Source organism: Homo sapiens, chromosome 4 (genome assembly GCF_000001405.40).
Source record: "Homo sapiens chromosome 4, GRCh38.p14 Primary Assembly".
Lineage (NCBI taxonomy): Eukaryota > Metazoa > Chordata > Mammalia > Primates > Hominidae > Homo > Homo sapiens.
This window is the reverse complement of record NC_000004.12, coordinates 154,665,755-154,679,941: the sequence shown is the minus strand read 5'-3', so window position 1 is coordinate 154,679,941 and position 14,187 is coordinate 154,665,755. Positions and strand designations below refer to the sequence as shown.

Sequence of the window (14,187 nt, the reverse complement as noted above, 5' to 3'; positions counted from 1 at the left end):
TAGTTCTAATATGGCCATAAAACAGCTACTTTATCCACTTGGATAAAAAGTATGTTAAATTTACCGTTTAAATATGAAAGCAACAGTTTATAATATTTACTCAAATAGAGGCTTTAATTGGTTTGTGTAAGAGATAATATAGATATCTTTTATCTATCACACAGTACTCAGCCACAGTCAAAGTGGAGGATGGAAAGGTTGGTCATCAAATTGGGAAGTAAGAGGATACTGCTGAAGAGAAAAGCCAATATAAGTTTCAGTTATATACACACAGGCAGATACTGTCTAGAGTGTGCATCCAAAATGAAAATCTAGAAAGACCGGAAAAGCCTTGACAAATGGAAACAAAATTTCAACATTAAGCCTACTGCTAAAGGGCACTTCCAAACCTGTTAGATTAATTTATAAAAAAAGAAATGTAGTTTTCAAATATTCTTCTTTAGCTGAGCGCGGTGGCTCATGCTTGTAATCCCAGCACCGTGGGAGGCTGAGGCGGGTGAATCACTTGAGTTTAGGGGTACAAGACCAGCCTGCCCAATGTAGTGAAACCCCGTCTCTACTAAAAATACAAAAATTAACCAGGTGTGGCGGCGTGCACCTGTAGTCCCAGCTCCTGGGGAGGCTGAAGCAAGAGAATCGCTTGAATCCAGGAGGCGGAGGTTTCAGTGAGCCAAGATCGCGCCACTGCACTCCAGCTTGGGTGACAGAGCGAGAAATATTCTGCTTCAGACTCTTTGAGTCAAAAGACAATTTGAGGACAAGTGGAAAACTTAAACACACTGAAGTTTAGGGATGATATTAGCGTTCATTCTGATTAGGTGCAATTCTTGCATTGTGGTTACATAGGAGAATGTTCTCATTCGTGCCGGATGAATGCAGAAGTATGTAGGGCTGAGGTGTCTTATTGTCTACAACTTAAAGTTTTAGATGGTTCCAAAAAAAAAGGTGTGTGATGTGTGTGAAAGAAAGAAAGAAGAGGGGAAGGAAAAAGGAAAATGTGGGGAAGTGTTAATTAGTGGAAGTCAGTGAATGGCATGGGGGGTGTTCACTGTACTACTTTTTCAAGTTTTCTATATATTTGAAAGTTTTTAAAATAAAAAGCTGTGGGGAAAAAATCCACATAAATATATATGTAAATTTATGAGACATACCTATAACAAAACAAGTAGGTAATGATTTATACAGCATAAACACATTTTAAAAAAATTAAAATATGAATTTTATACAAACAGAATTCAAAATCAAAAGCATTCAGTAGGATGTTTTATATTCACAAGAAGTATAATACAAATGAAGAATAATATTCTCATTGTCTGGTCATCACTCTTTGATAAGTCACATAATTCTCTAGGCATGTGCCCTATCAATCTCTAATCGCTAATTAAATCTCAGTGTAGTTCAGAGATCACTGTTTCATCAGTCCCGCGTTTCAAGTTCTCCAAAGAGGACATTTCCTATTTTTCACCACTCTCAAAAGTTATATTCCTGACTTCACAGATTATCTTATTTCCAATTTTAGAGACAACAGAACTATCAGATGGCAAGTCCTTCACCTGCGTGCTACCAAATTTACAAATTATCTGCATTTGCTCTGTGGTAGATGCTGCTATTTAACTAATCTGTCATTCCCAAATCTTATCTCTCTTGACTTCTCCCACTATGAGGGTAAAAAAAATCTTTCCCAGTCTCCCTTGTCGTTATGAGTGGCCATGGGACACCGTACTGGCCAATGAGATGCAAGCAGAAGTCTCCCGGAGGCCTCTGGAGACACTTTCCTGTTTAAATGACCAAGTGCAGCTAATACCATCCCTTCCCCCCTTTTCCTGCCTTGAGCACAGTTTGAAAGGAAAAGATGAAGGGAAATGCAGTGATGTCAACCCCTTAGTGCTGATATCAACTTGCAGAAGCAATGTCAGCAATTGCTTACTCTAAATTGCTTGTCATACAAGAAAAATGAATATCTGCTTGAGTGAGGCACTATTGGTAGCTGGGTTTTCTGTTATTTGCAAGTGAAAGCACTCCTAACTGCTACTGATCCCACTCTTTCCTCCCTTTACAATTGAAGACAGCCCCCTTATCTGGGACGATGGATCCCATCATTCCCACCTTCTCAGAGGCCCCCTTCTATTGATTGCAACCCTCCCCAAAGCCCCTCAGTGTCTTCGGCCTTCCCCTCTCCTCCGGTTATTTCACATCACCAGTGGTTAAACACACTCAGGTCTCTCTCATATTAAATAAAAAATGAAACTGTCCCTTGGCCTCCCATCTTCCTCCAGCTACAGCCTTATCTTTATCTCCCTTTCATTAACATTCTTCTTACAAGAGCTGTCTACATTCACTATCTCCAATTCCTTATTTCCCATTCATTTCTCAACCCGCTGCATCTGGATTCACCCTTGACCACTTGACTGAAACTGTCAAGTGGTCAACAGCAACATCCTCAGTGCAAAATCCAATGGGAACTGTTTTGTTCTTATCTTGTTTGACCTCTGTGTAACATTTGGCATGATGACCATTCAGTCCCATTTGAAAGACTTTCTTTCCTTCAATGTTTAAAAGCATTCTGTCTTTGCTTTTCTTCTCCTCTCTGGCAGATACTTCTAAGCCTCCTCTTCTTTTGCAAACCCTTTGGGTATTGGTATGAAATTACTATTTTTACGCTGATGTCTCCTCAGTCTTTATCACCAAAGCAGCTCCCCACTGGACATCCTGAAATGTCCCAAAGACTCCCCCTAAATCTGCTTCTTCTCCTGTGCTGTCTTCCTCCACGCACAGCACCACATCCACCCAGTTGCCCAAGGTGTCTGGAAAAATCCTTGATTCCCCTCCTCTCCCTTGTTTCTCGAAACCTGTTAATCAGTAGGTCCTCCTCTTGAATCTGCCTATTTCGCTTAGTGCCACTAATCTCATCCCAGGTCAGGCTTTTTCTGTTATCAGTTCCCTAACACCTCTCTCTTGCTTGACCCCATCTCTCTGCTGCAGCTGAAGGGAACTTATTTTAGTTTCTCCATAGCTGCCAACCTCTCTTTCACCTCTGGGCTTTCATACATGTTATTTCCTCTAACTATGATTCTTTCCACAAGGCTCAGCATCATTACTAATAATCTTTCCATTCTCCGTTTAAGCATTACTTCCCTGGTACCCGAGGCTGCACTGGATGCTTCTGCTGTGTATTGCTATAACATATTAGACTCCCACTATCGATGTTTCTGTTTTGTTCCACAAGGATACTTTTCATCTTTAGTAACCAGTCTCTTCCAATAGACTTTTCAATTCGATTATAATGCTAGGCTTTTAATTTTATTTGCACCAAACCAACAACTATCTATATACGATTGGCACTCATCAAAGGTTGTGGATCAACTTCATGGAATATGAAAGATTTCCATTTATGTTTAAGAACCACTTACTGTAAAATGAAAAAGAAACAAAAATGCTGGAACACATACACATTAAAATGACTTTGGTCACATTAAAAATAGTTATATTCCACTTACTGGAATGGATATATCCAATGTTTAAAAGCAAAGAGTGATCCTCCATTATCGCTGAAGTATATAAATTAGTTATTTCCTATCACAATACAAATTTCTAGAAAGAATAACTATACAGCATATGTATATTTCATTATATCTATAGACATTGTTCAAGTAGAAAAATGTATAAAATGCACTCAAGAGCCTTGACATGACATATAAATATAAAATCTAATTAAATCATATAGTTATTAATAATCATCAGAGAAACAGAGGCCAACAAGACTTAAAACAATGTAAAAACAAAACCCTTATGTAACAGTGTTACAAGTAAATTCAGAAAAAACAATGTGACATTATTGAAACATCCAGATTGTTTCCAGGATTTACTGCAATTAGTTTTCTCTACTTAATATGCATGTGCTTCAGATTATTAAACTAAGAAGCACATTTGTATGATGAACCAAAGGCTGAAACTTTGATCAGCTGAAACTTTTCACACATTTTCAACAATCTAATTGCCAACAAAGTATAACTTAGTGTGCAAAATGCTACTAAAGTACAGATATATTTTAGGGTGCACTACCAATTTTTTTTATTTCAAGGAGGAAATATATTTTTTTCCTGTTATATAAGCTATGTTGATAAAGCATAAGACCAAAAGGCTATATTGTCATATTTATTGCTGAAGCAAAACATATTCCAGTACAGTAATGTAACTTCCCAAAGGAAGAGGCTCTCTAAATACCAACACAGTCAACATCCAAAAAAAAAAAAAATAGATAAAAAAGCAAAAAGTTCAAGGAAAAAAAATCAATTTTAGATTTTACCTGTGATCTTTTAAGTCAAATATGAGTTGGCTTAGGAATATGACTTGGAGCAAAATCCTTGGCAAAAAAAAAAGCCAGTCTCTTCCTTCAAGTTCCATATTCACCTGCTTTAGGATTCAGATCATTCCCTAAAAACACTATTATATAGTTTATTTGCAGATAAGGCTCCATACTGTGTTTGCTTTTATCTATAGAATTCAATTTATGCTCCCTGAATGCAGGTTGCAATGATGTCTTACTGCCCATTAAGCCCCACACAACATTATCACACATAATAAGGGCCTGAAAACAAATTAATAAACCCCACATTACATATCGTAGCACACTACGTTTTGGAATCTGCATTGGTCACTGATTGAGGTGGCTGACTGCCTCAAAACACTTCTCTGTTAGCCTGCCTTTCTCTAGTTAAAGACTCCACTCCCTGACCACAGGACTGGGCACACAAACCAAGCTTAGCTAAGCATCCTTCTGAAACTTAGAAACTGATTCAGAAAAAGAGGAGCTCTTTTCCTCTCTGACCTCAGAGCTATTTGGATATGAGCCTTGGTACCATAAGCAGCTGCTTCTCCAGCTTGAAGGACAAGCTGGTTTCTATAGTCCACACCCAGAGAAAGCAGAGAGGGGAGGCAGGCCAGATGGGCCAGACAACCCTAAAGCCAGCTTCACCCCTGATCTTCCACAGTTAGGTTAGGAGAGCCAATAAATTCTACTTACTTAATTTCACAGGGTCATGTAAGGATTCCATCACTAGAAGCCAGAATTCTAACTAGTACAGACCCAGAATTGTATTACGGTAAGAACTCTTGGAATTCATGGGGTCCAAATCCTCATGTTACGTATTAGAACATGGATTAGTTAGAGAGGTTAAGTATCTTGCCCCAAGTCCCACAGTGAAATGTAAGGAAGCAAGACACTGTGGCGGATTCTGTAGGCTGGCTCACTCTGCACTCATTCTAACTCCTCTGTTGCTGCCTTACTGTACTATAGAGGCTGGGAAGTGAAAACATTTCCCCATCTTCCTGAAGCTAGAGTGCAGGCATGTGGCCTAAGCTTCTGACAAACAGAGGTGTCTGCCCAGGACTCGGATGAGAAATAAGCATCAAGATGGAATTTGTGTCTTCTGGGGAGCACGGAGGTGGAGCCACGTGGTTCTGAAAATACTGAGGTGGACTCTCTGGCATGCTGTGTCCTACCTGCCGAGGGCAGCAGTAGTTCCCTAGAACCCTTGGTATTTTCAGTTTTTGTTTTGACTGACTAGTATCCAAAATGGTTGATACGGTGCTCCCAAAATTCTGTAAGCCACCTAATAACTTCCAATAAACCCCTTTCGGGTTAAATTAGTTAGAATGCTGTTTGAGACCAAGAACTTTGACTTATATAGAATTTAGTCCCTGGAAATGGGGTGCAGCCACCTGAAATGTAGAACGGATTACTGAAGGAGGTGGGGATTTGAGAAAAGATACAAATATTGGAAACCAGAAAGCTGTAACTCTTGTGATGCAGTAACATCAAAGTGTGTCAAACTGTCCCACCCTGCCCCTCGGAAAGCAGACAACGTGCTGCAAATGTTCTGTTAGAAGAAAGAGTAAGAAAAATTTGGTCCAGCATGAAAATGTTTAATAGGATTTCGAAAATAATTCTTTGTACGCAGAGTTCCCAAATTCCTTCCCAAAATCAGTATCATTTAGATTATTTTTAACTACGTCAAAAACTGAAAAACCAACCAACCAACCACATAAAACCCCCAGTGACTTAAACAAAGTGGGGGTTTATTTTTCTCAGACCTGCAGAATAATGGACATTAAAGGGAGAATTAATCTATCCATTTCATGTGCTCAACAGAGCAATCCTAAATCATCAATTAAAAAGTAAAACGATGGGTAATATGCTAAGAAGAGACAGGAGGAGGTCACATGCTGCAGAAATATTTCATTAAGATCACTTTGTATTTTGCTCATGTATATTGCTTTGTAGCTCAAAACATACTTTCACATTCTCTCCCCTGTCCCTTTCCATCCTTCTTCCTTCCTCTTGTCCCCTTCTCCCTGCTGTCTTTCTTTTACAACCCCACAAACCTACATGCATCTGAGCAAGCATGATTATTATTCTTCTCATTTCAGACACAAAGAAACTGAGACTTTAAAAAGTTTGGTAACTTCCTCAACATTGAAAATTATGTTAACTAGACTCAGTATTAACCATAAATAGAATAGATCCAGGTTTTTGTGAGGCCTGAAGCTAATACAAGTTATGGAAGCTTTGTTAAAAACTGCAGATAAAATATCTTATTCTTAGAAAACTTACAAAAACATCTTGACTGTGTGAGCACAATGGTAAGGCCTTGGAAGGGGACCACACCAATGAGGGGCCTGGAGTTTAAATTTCACTAGCTTTACAGTTAATATGCCTCTGCTCTTTCTATAACGTGGTTCTTGTTTTAATTTTAAAATGTAATATTATTTTGTATTTTAACTATATTTTAGCCAACATTCGATTTCTCTCTCCATTTTTAATCATCGGGAGAGGAAGAGGGAAGTGGAAACAGAACAGAAATTTTCCCCTGGCACCAGTATTTCTAGGAAATTTTACTTCTCTTTATAGGAGTCAGAGTAGGGTTCCTGCCTTCTCCCATCCCCCACTTCACCTCTCTAAGCCTCAACCTCTCCGTATTTAAACATGGAAGCTTGAGGTATATCGAATGTTATAGTCCAGTGAAAAATTAGTTCATTGGATAAACTGAACTGAAGCCTTGAGAGGCCTGGTCCTTTAATGATCAGATCCAAATCAAGTCCATTTCAGTTGTAGTGTGCGGAAAGCAAGGGCAGTGTGGGGAAAGCAAGGGCACTGTGGTAAAGGGCCCAGTGTGCCTAGGGCTGCACAGCCCAGGACACATGAGACCTCTTTAGAGGGCACTAGGAAGGAAGAGAGGCTTGCGGGGACATGGGATCCTAATGTAGAGGAAACTGGAACATAGGATGGGGATGCAGGTGGGGCAGAGGAAACCAAAGTGAACTTTACCAGGTTTTTTTCTGTCTGGGATCATCACCCTAAATTCACAATTCAGCTTACACAGAATCTACAAACATATACTGCCATAATTAATGTCAGCACTTGATAAACTTGAAATAAATATTACAAAAATGGGTATATTCTTGACAAATGCTTAAAGGTATTAACATGCTCACAGGCAGCAGGTTATGAGTATTGCATAACCCATGTATTTAGCACACATTGCCAAGTTCAGAAGGGCTAACTAATGAGTATCATAACTGATGATGGTGAGAAAAAGTAGAGACTCTTAGAGTTGTAACTGTAAAAATATGTGTAGTTACCCATTCCAGTCCCTGCTAGTGCAGTTTCTCTAGAAAAGATTTCCACTGCCATCTTCTGTTTATGATGGACTGAAAGACAAAAGACACCTTCTAAAGGACCGTAATAACAAAGAATAGAAACTAACAAGAGCATACCTCAAAATAAGGCACAAATTTGTATTTGCATACCATGAAAGAGCATTTTTTTCTGGGTCATCTAGTTTGTATGATTACTATGAGAAGGTTATAAATTTTTGTAATTATGCCACACATGTACACACAAGATAAACAACTTACTGAAAACAGAGGATAACCCTTTTGGTCCCTCATAAATTAATAATAATTAATTTTATCTTAGGAATACAACTTGACACACAATAATGAAAGCTAGAAAAAAATCATATAAATTATATTTGTAAAATTCCTTTGTTTTTTACTCTTTTATTTAACTGATACCCATTGCTTTGTTTCATATGACTGCTGATTTTAAATGATATGTATGTAACTGAGACAGCTCTATTTCCTCTATAGAGTATCTGCAACAAAGATGGTCTGTAGTAAATAGATAGCTTATTATAGAATAAATCAGTTCTCCTAGTTTGAAACAGACTTATGGTATAAATATGTACATTAAAGTATCTAATTTGAAAATTTTAAGAACTTGTCAATCACCTTTGAAATGTGCAGTCATTTGGAAAGTCTCTGGAAAGGAGTGGAAGTCTAAGGTCTAGTTCTGCTTCTTATTCTAAATACCTGCTTGTCCTTAATTAAGTCAGTTCATTTCTTCATAACTTAATTTGCCTTTTCGGCAAAACACAGATCATATCAGCTTCCTAAGTGCTTCTTAGAGCTATTATGATGAAAAAAAATGTTCCATCAGATGTGAAACACTTCTTCAAGTACAAATATGAGATATAGTTATTTTAATCAGACCAATAATCAAAGTAAATTAATACCTTTCCCATCATGTTTATTGTCACTCACTCTCTCTCAAAATCCAACTTAAAGAATCCATTTGACAATTTAATTATGTGACTAAATTGGAGTTTATAGTCAGACCATGAAAAATAGACATAGGTAATGTTTTCAAGCATGTTTAATAAAGAGAAACTTACAAGATACAATAAGTTGCTTTCATAATAAATAACCTTTCATTTTAAGTTCAATATTTACTAATTTTAATTTAGTGAATTAAAATATGGCAATTACACTGCCAGGCAACTAACAGAGCACATATTCCTGTGTATAGAGAAATATCCGCACTGTGACGCCTGGTTTCTGTTTCTGGATTTTATCAAGCATCTAAAATTTCCCATATAATTCTAAATAGTCCCTAAGTTTATGTCTTGACCTTACCACACACTAGTCTACAAAATAAAACACAAGAAGTTCTTGTCATTTTTAGAGCTTGATAAATAAAATTAATAACAGATTGCAAAAATTATGAAAACAAGAAGCCTTTCTCCAAAAAGTGTTTTGAAGTAAAATATTTAGCCAATAGTTTGTTGAGTTTATTTTTATATAGAAGAGTAAATTTTCTAAATAGAAAAACGTCTCAATAAAGATACTTGAGTTATTTTTACTTTAATATATCTAGGACTCTAAAATACATTATTTTAATTTTATTCTCTTCTAAAATTTAATAAATGATCTTTTCATGTTATTCAAGCTTTCATAATTCAGCTACGACAGTTTTATATATTTTTAATTGATTCTTTACACTAAATGAATTTTGTGATAAATGGAACTAGACTGTAGGGGATTCAATATCTGGCCCTGTCCCTCGTTAGCTGCAACATCTTATGTATGACTTAGGTATAACCTCATGTATATATGTAGGACTCAATCTCTCTACGCCTCTTTTCTCATCTTTAAAAGGAACTACGAACAGAACCTACCTAAAAGAAAGTTGTCAGGGCACTAAATGACTTAACACAAATAAAACACTTAACAATAGCGCCTGCCACATACTAATCCCTCAATTAGTGTTAATTTGTTTTTTAATAATAATGTTTGTTATTATGCTATAAGAGCATAATTATTATTATTTTTTTACAGAAATCACTTCTGGATTTTGATACTTGAAACTAGGACAAAGTGATCTTCCCTCTTTCTAACCCTTTCCCTTTTAACATTCACCCACTTTTGTCTAGTGCAAACCATATACCAATGTAAACTGCTTCACAAAAGCCATAAAAATTACTTTAGTAAAATGTTATTCAAATTAACTTTTGTTTAGAACTTACTTAAATTATATGCATTGATACCAGTTTAGTTTTGAGAAATACCAGTCAGATATTTGTAGAATGTCCCCTACCTACATTTTAAAAATATCAACTTCCACAGGATAAACAATAGAAGATCATTTACACAATTGGCAGTTTCTGGTGTTTAATAAACAAGGGTTTATGCTTCAATTCAGTGATTTAGGGGATATGATGTTGAAGGCTTAGAGAAAATAATAAAAATTAATAACATTCTATATCCATCACATCAGGAACAGGAAAGTCTCTTTTCATTCCATTAAAACAGAGCACACGATCAACCAGGTGAAGGTAATTAACTCTGCACTGCAAGTATTCCTATTTATGCAATTTAAGGAAAAGTCATCACATACTGTACCTCGAGTCAAGAAAACAATGGCTTTAGTTAACACCTGTTTCTAGGAATTGAGCTAATGGTTTATTTTAAAAGCAAATTTCTACCTCTGTTACTTTCAGCAACTTAAGCTGGTATTCAATACATATAAATTTTAAGTGTTAATTGTTATTGTTATTGTTGTCATTGTTATTTATAAACATTTTCCTATCTTTGATTAACATTTATTAAATGAAAATAATCACTATAGACCAAAATGTCTATAAATAATCCCAGAATTAGTAAGATGACCAAACCTTCGTGAATATGATTACTGGCATTAAAAGTTCTAAAAAATATTCAAACAGATAAAAGATGTGAATAGAAAGCTTATAAGTAATACAAGATGTGTAATAATGCTGCTAGGAATAAATATATGGATAGAGGAAAGAAACTACCTAGACAAGGTCAAATTTATTATCCATAATTTAATAAGATATTGATTATACTTTAATTCTCTCATTTATATTTTTAAAGTAATCTCAAAAAGCCTCAAATTAAACTAGATTAATGAAATTAATTTTTAATGGGTAGTCACAATAGATTAAGACATGCTTTATAGTTAAAAATTTTTTTTAAGATAAGCAAAAAAAATCTTAATTCTGAATATTTGATCCCTTTTCTAGTGAAAAGCTAGAAAACTTTCAGCAAAAATAGAATATTACTTCTGTTTTTACTGATAAAGAACAGCATATATTAAGAAGTAGAAGTTGAAAATTTAAAGATTCACAGTTCCTTAAGAATTTTTTAAGAAAATCACATACGTGACACCCCAGTGCTTGAACATAGCACAAATATAAAGGTGGAGCAAGAAAGGAAGAGAATAGAATGAAAAGAGACTTTCTTGTTCCTGATGTGATGGATATAGAATGGTATTAATTTTTATTATTTTCTCTAAGCCTTCAACATCATATCTCCTAAATCACTGAATTGAAGCATAAACCCTTGTTTATTAAACACCAGAAACTGCCAATTGTACAAATGATCTTCTATTGTTTATCCTATGGAAGTTGGTATTTTCAAAAAGTAGGTAGGGGACATTCTACAAAATATGGTTTGCCATAGACAAATATAAAATTCAAACTTGTCATAGAAATACAGATCTTTTAAAATACACACACTGTATATATATATATATAAAATAAACTTGTCATAGAAATATAGACCTTTTAAAAAATACACACTGTGAAATAGAAGTAGTCCAAAATGTATAACCCATTAAACCTTAACTGGGTTGGCCTGTACAATAAGTATTTTTATACATAAGTGATTAACAATATGCCAACACATTCATTTATACTGGAATAAGAAATCTGTTCTGCTTACTCCATTTAAATTTATTGTAGCTTATGCCACATATGTTTTTTCAGATCCTAAAATCTGAATGTGAACCTCACTATAATCTAAACCAGCTTCTTGAAACGTAACACTAGTTCTGCACCAAAGTATATGTAATAAAATATATCCATGAATGTGTGGTAGATCAATTCTAACATTCCCTTAGTTTGGGTTCCTGATAGAGTTTACCCATTTTGGATCTCAATAACAATTACAGTTAAAGCAACAGGGCAATCTAAATCATTTAAGGCTTATAAGTTATATTCTAGTATAGTTTTAGCTTCAAACCACATTTGATATGTCATAGACTCAATATCCTTATTTTGTCATTAGTCTAAAATTGAACATTTCCCCTTTGATCCAATAGTTACATATGCCAGCGCTTTTTATATCTATAAAGGATTAGAATTTATTTTTGTTGTTGCTTAAGGTTTAATTATTAATTTGTTGTACTACACATGGCCAAAAAAGGGGTCTATAAAATATCTGCTTTCTGAAAAGAATTAAGGTAGTTTTGAGGATACTTGGAAACAAGGTGTATGCTTGGTTTGATGGGGGAATGTTCTATCTGCAGCTATGAATTCAATACTATTATATTATTCTAATATTTTGTGTCCTGTTAAAAATCAACTTGATAAAATATTAAGATATGGTAAAAATCTTCCATAGTAATTGTATTTCTCTTCGTTTCTCTTTAGGTATCTAATAGATCTGACTTAAGTGCCTCTGTGCTATGTTATTTGGCACATGAAAATGCATGACCACGTTATCTTCATTGTGAATATTTTACGCCACTTGAATCCAGCTTTACTATTGTTAACGCAAAATATCTGAGACAAGTCTCAGCCAGTTTAGGAAGTTTATGTTGCCAAAGTTAAGGATATGCCTGTGACACAGTCCGATTGTCCTAAACAGTTCCCAGCCTGACTTTTCCCTTTAGCTTAGTGATTTTGGGGTCCCAAAATTTATTTTCCCTTCACACTATTAATACCATCTCCATCTCCACTATTTTTCCCCCTCCCATTCTCCTCCTCCTCCTCCTTTTCTTGCTCCTCTGCCTTTTTCTTCTTGTTCCGTGCCCATTCTGGTTTTTTTTTCAACTTTCCTGCACTTTTTTGTTTCAATGTGCTTCCCAGCACTTAGTTGGGCTCTGATTTTAATCAACTGCAAGACACTATCTGTCTTGCAGTATTATAGTATTTGTTTATTTCCACTATTCTAATTTTGATTTAACTTGAGACATCTTGTTTTATGCTTTCTCTTTTAACACTTACTTTGTTTTCTCATGTTTTGGAAGAGGTATTTATTGATTCAACAATATTTACTCAAGAATAAATGTCATATATTGTGACATATACCTATGTTTTCATTGCTTTTATTTTATTTTAAGTGCCTAAGAAGGTAACTCATACTCATCTTTCAGGTTTCTCTGTTTTCAAAAAAAAATTACTTAGGTAAAGCCTTACTTTGCTGCCAAATTAAATTATGTTCCCCTATTATTCTTTTTCACAGCATCCTTTAATTTTTCCTCAAAGTATTTTGCAATTCTTTGTTTGTGAGGTTATTAGTATAATTTCTATCCACTCACTACATCCCAAGAGGTTAGGTACCTTGTGTGTCCTGCTCAGAACTATATACCAAGGGCCTAGAAGGGATTGCCATGTAGCAAGGCACTCAATAATGTTAGTTAAAAGAATAAATGACTGAATGTATGAATTAACGATATAGATAGTCTTAAACATTCAACTGTGATTATCTTGAATTTAAAAACACTTTGATTCTCTACTGAGTGATGAGATCAAAGACTGTTTTCATTTATTTTCCTGTTTACATTTTTTTGTATTATTAAATGTTTTATGATGTTCATTTTTGAAAAAAAATGACATGATTTGATATGAGTCTCTTTTCATATAAAGAAAAAATAGAATTTTTTAAATATCTCTCACCAACACTTATTTTTATTAATAGGGCTTGCCTTTTTAAACCTAGGTTTTCTTGATTAACTCTATAACATACTTTAAATACATGATATAATTCAATTTGGTTACAGAAATAATACAAAATTTCTTTATCTGGATATTTTTAAGAAAAAGAGAAGTGTCTAAAACAAATGAAGAGCTCTCCAGACACCAAACAGTTGGATGTAACATGTAAGTGGCAAATAGGTCTGTTAGTTCTGATTCCACCACCTGTGTACATTATGTTACCTTTCTGAACATAATCTCTAAGTCAAGACAAAAAATGTACAGGTTTTTCTGGTAAAACTTGGCATCTATAAAACTTTCCTAATACTTAACTTTTTTCTAGGTCTGTGCGTTACTAAACTGTAAAGTTGTTAGTATAGGGCTCATTTGTATTGCCAGTAGTACCTGTTGCTTAATGTATAATGTGCTGAGTGAATACATAAATACTCTGGGAGAAAACATTGACTGTAATAATGACTTTTGTCAAATAATTTGATCACTATGACACTTTAAATTTAGTTAGTCCCAGCTACTCAGAAGGCTTAGATGGGAGGATCATTTGAGCCCAGGAGTTTCAGTGCAACCTGGGCAACACAGCAAGACCCTGTCCATAAAAAAAAACAATTAG

At 35.0% G+C, this 14,187-nt stretch overlaps 1 long non-coding RNA gene across 10 annotated transcripts in view; it reads right to left on the bottom strand.

Annotated features, from left to right (window-relative positions):
* The window catches only part of LOC124900169 (uncharacterized), a 109,752-nt gene that overhangs the window by 56,194 nt on the left and 39,371 nt on the right, over positions 1-14,187 (bottom strand). For 5 of the 10 annotated variants that reach the window (XR_007058346.1, XR_007058339.1, XR_007058338.1 and 2 more), the window contains exon 3: positions 7,642-7,710. The exons of the other annotated variants lie outside the window; for them this stretch is intronic. This is a non-coding gene — a long non-coding RNA (uncharacterized LOC124900169). The remainder of the gene's footprint in view (positions 1-7,641; positions 7,711-14,187) is intronic. 10 annotated transcript variants of the gene reach the window in all.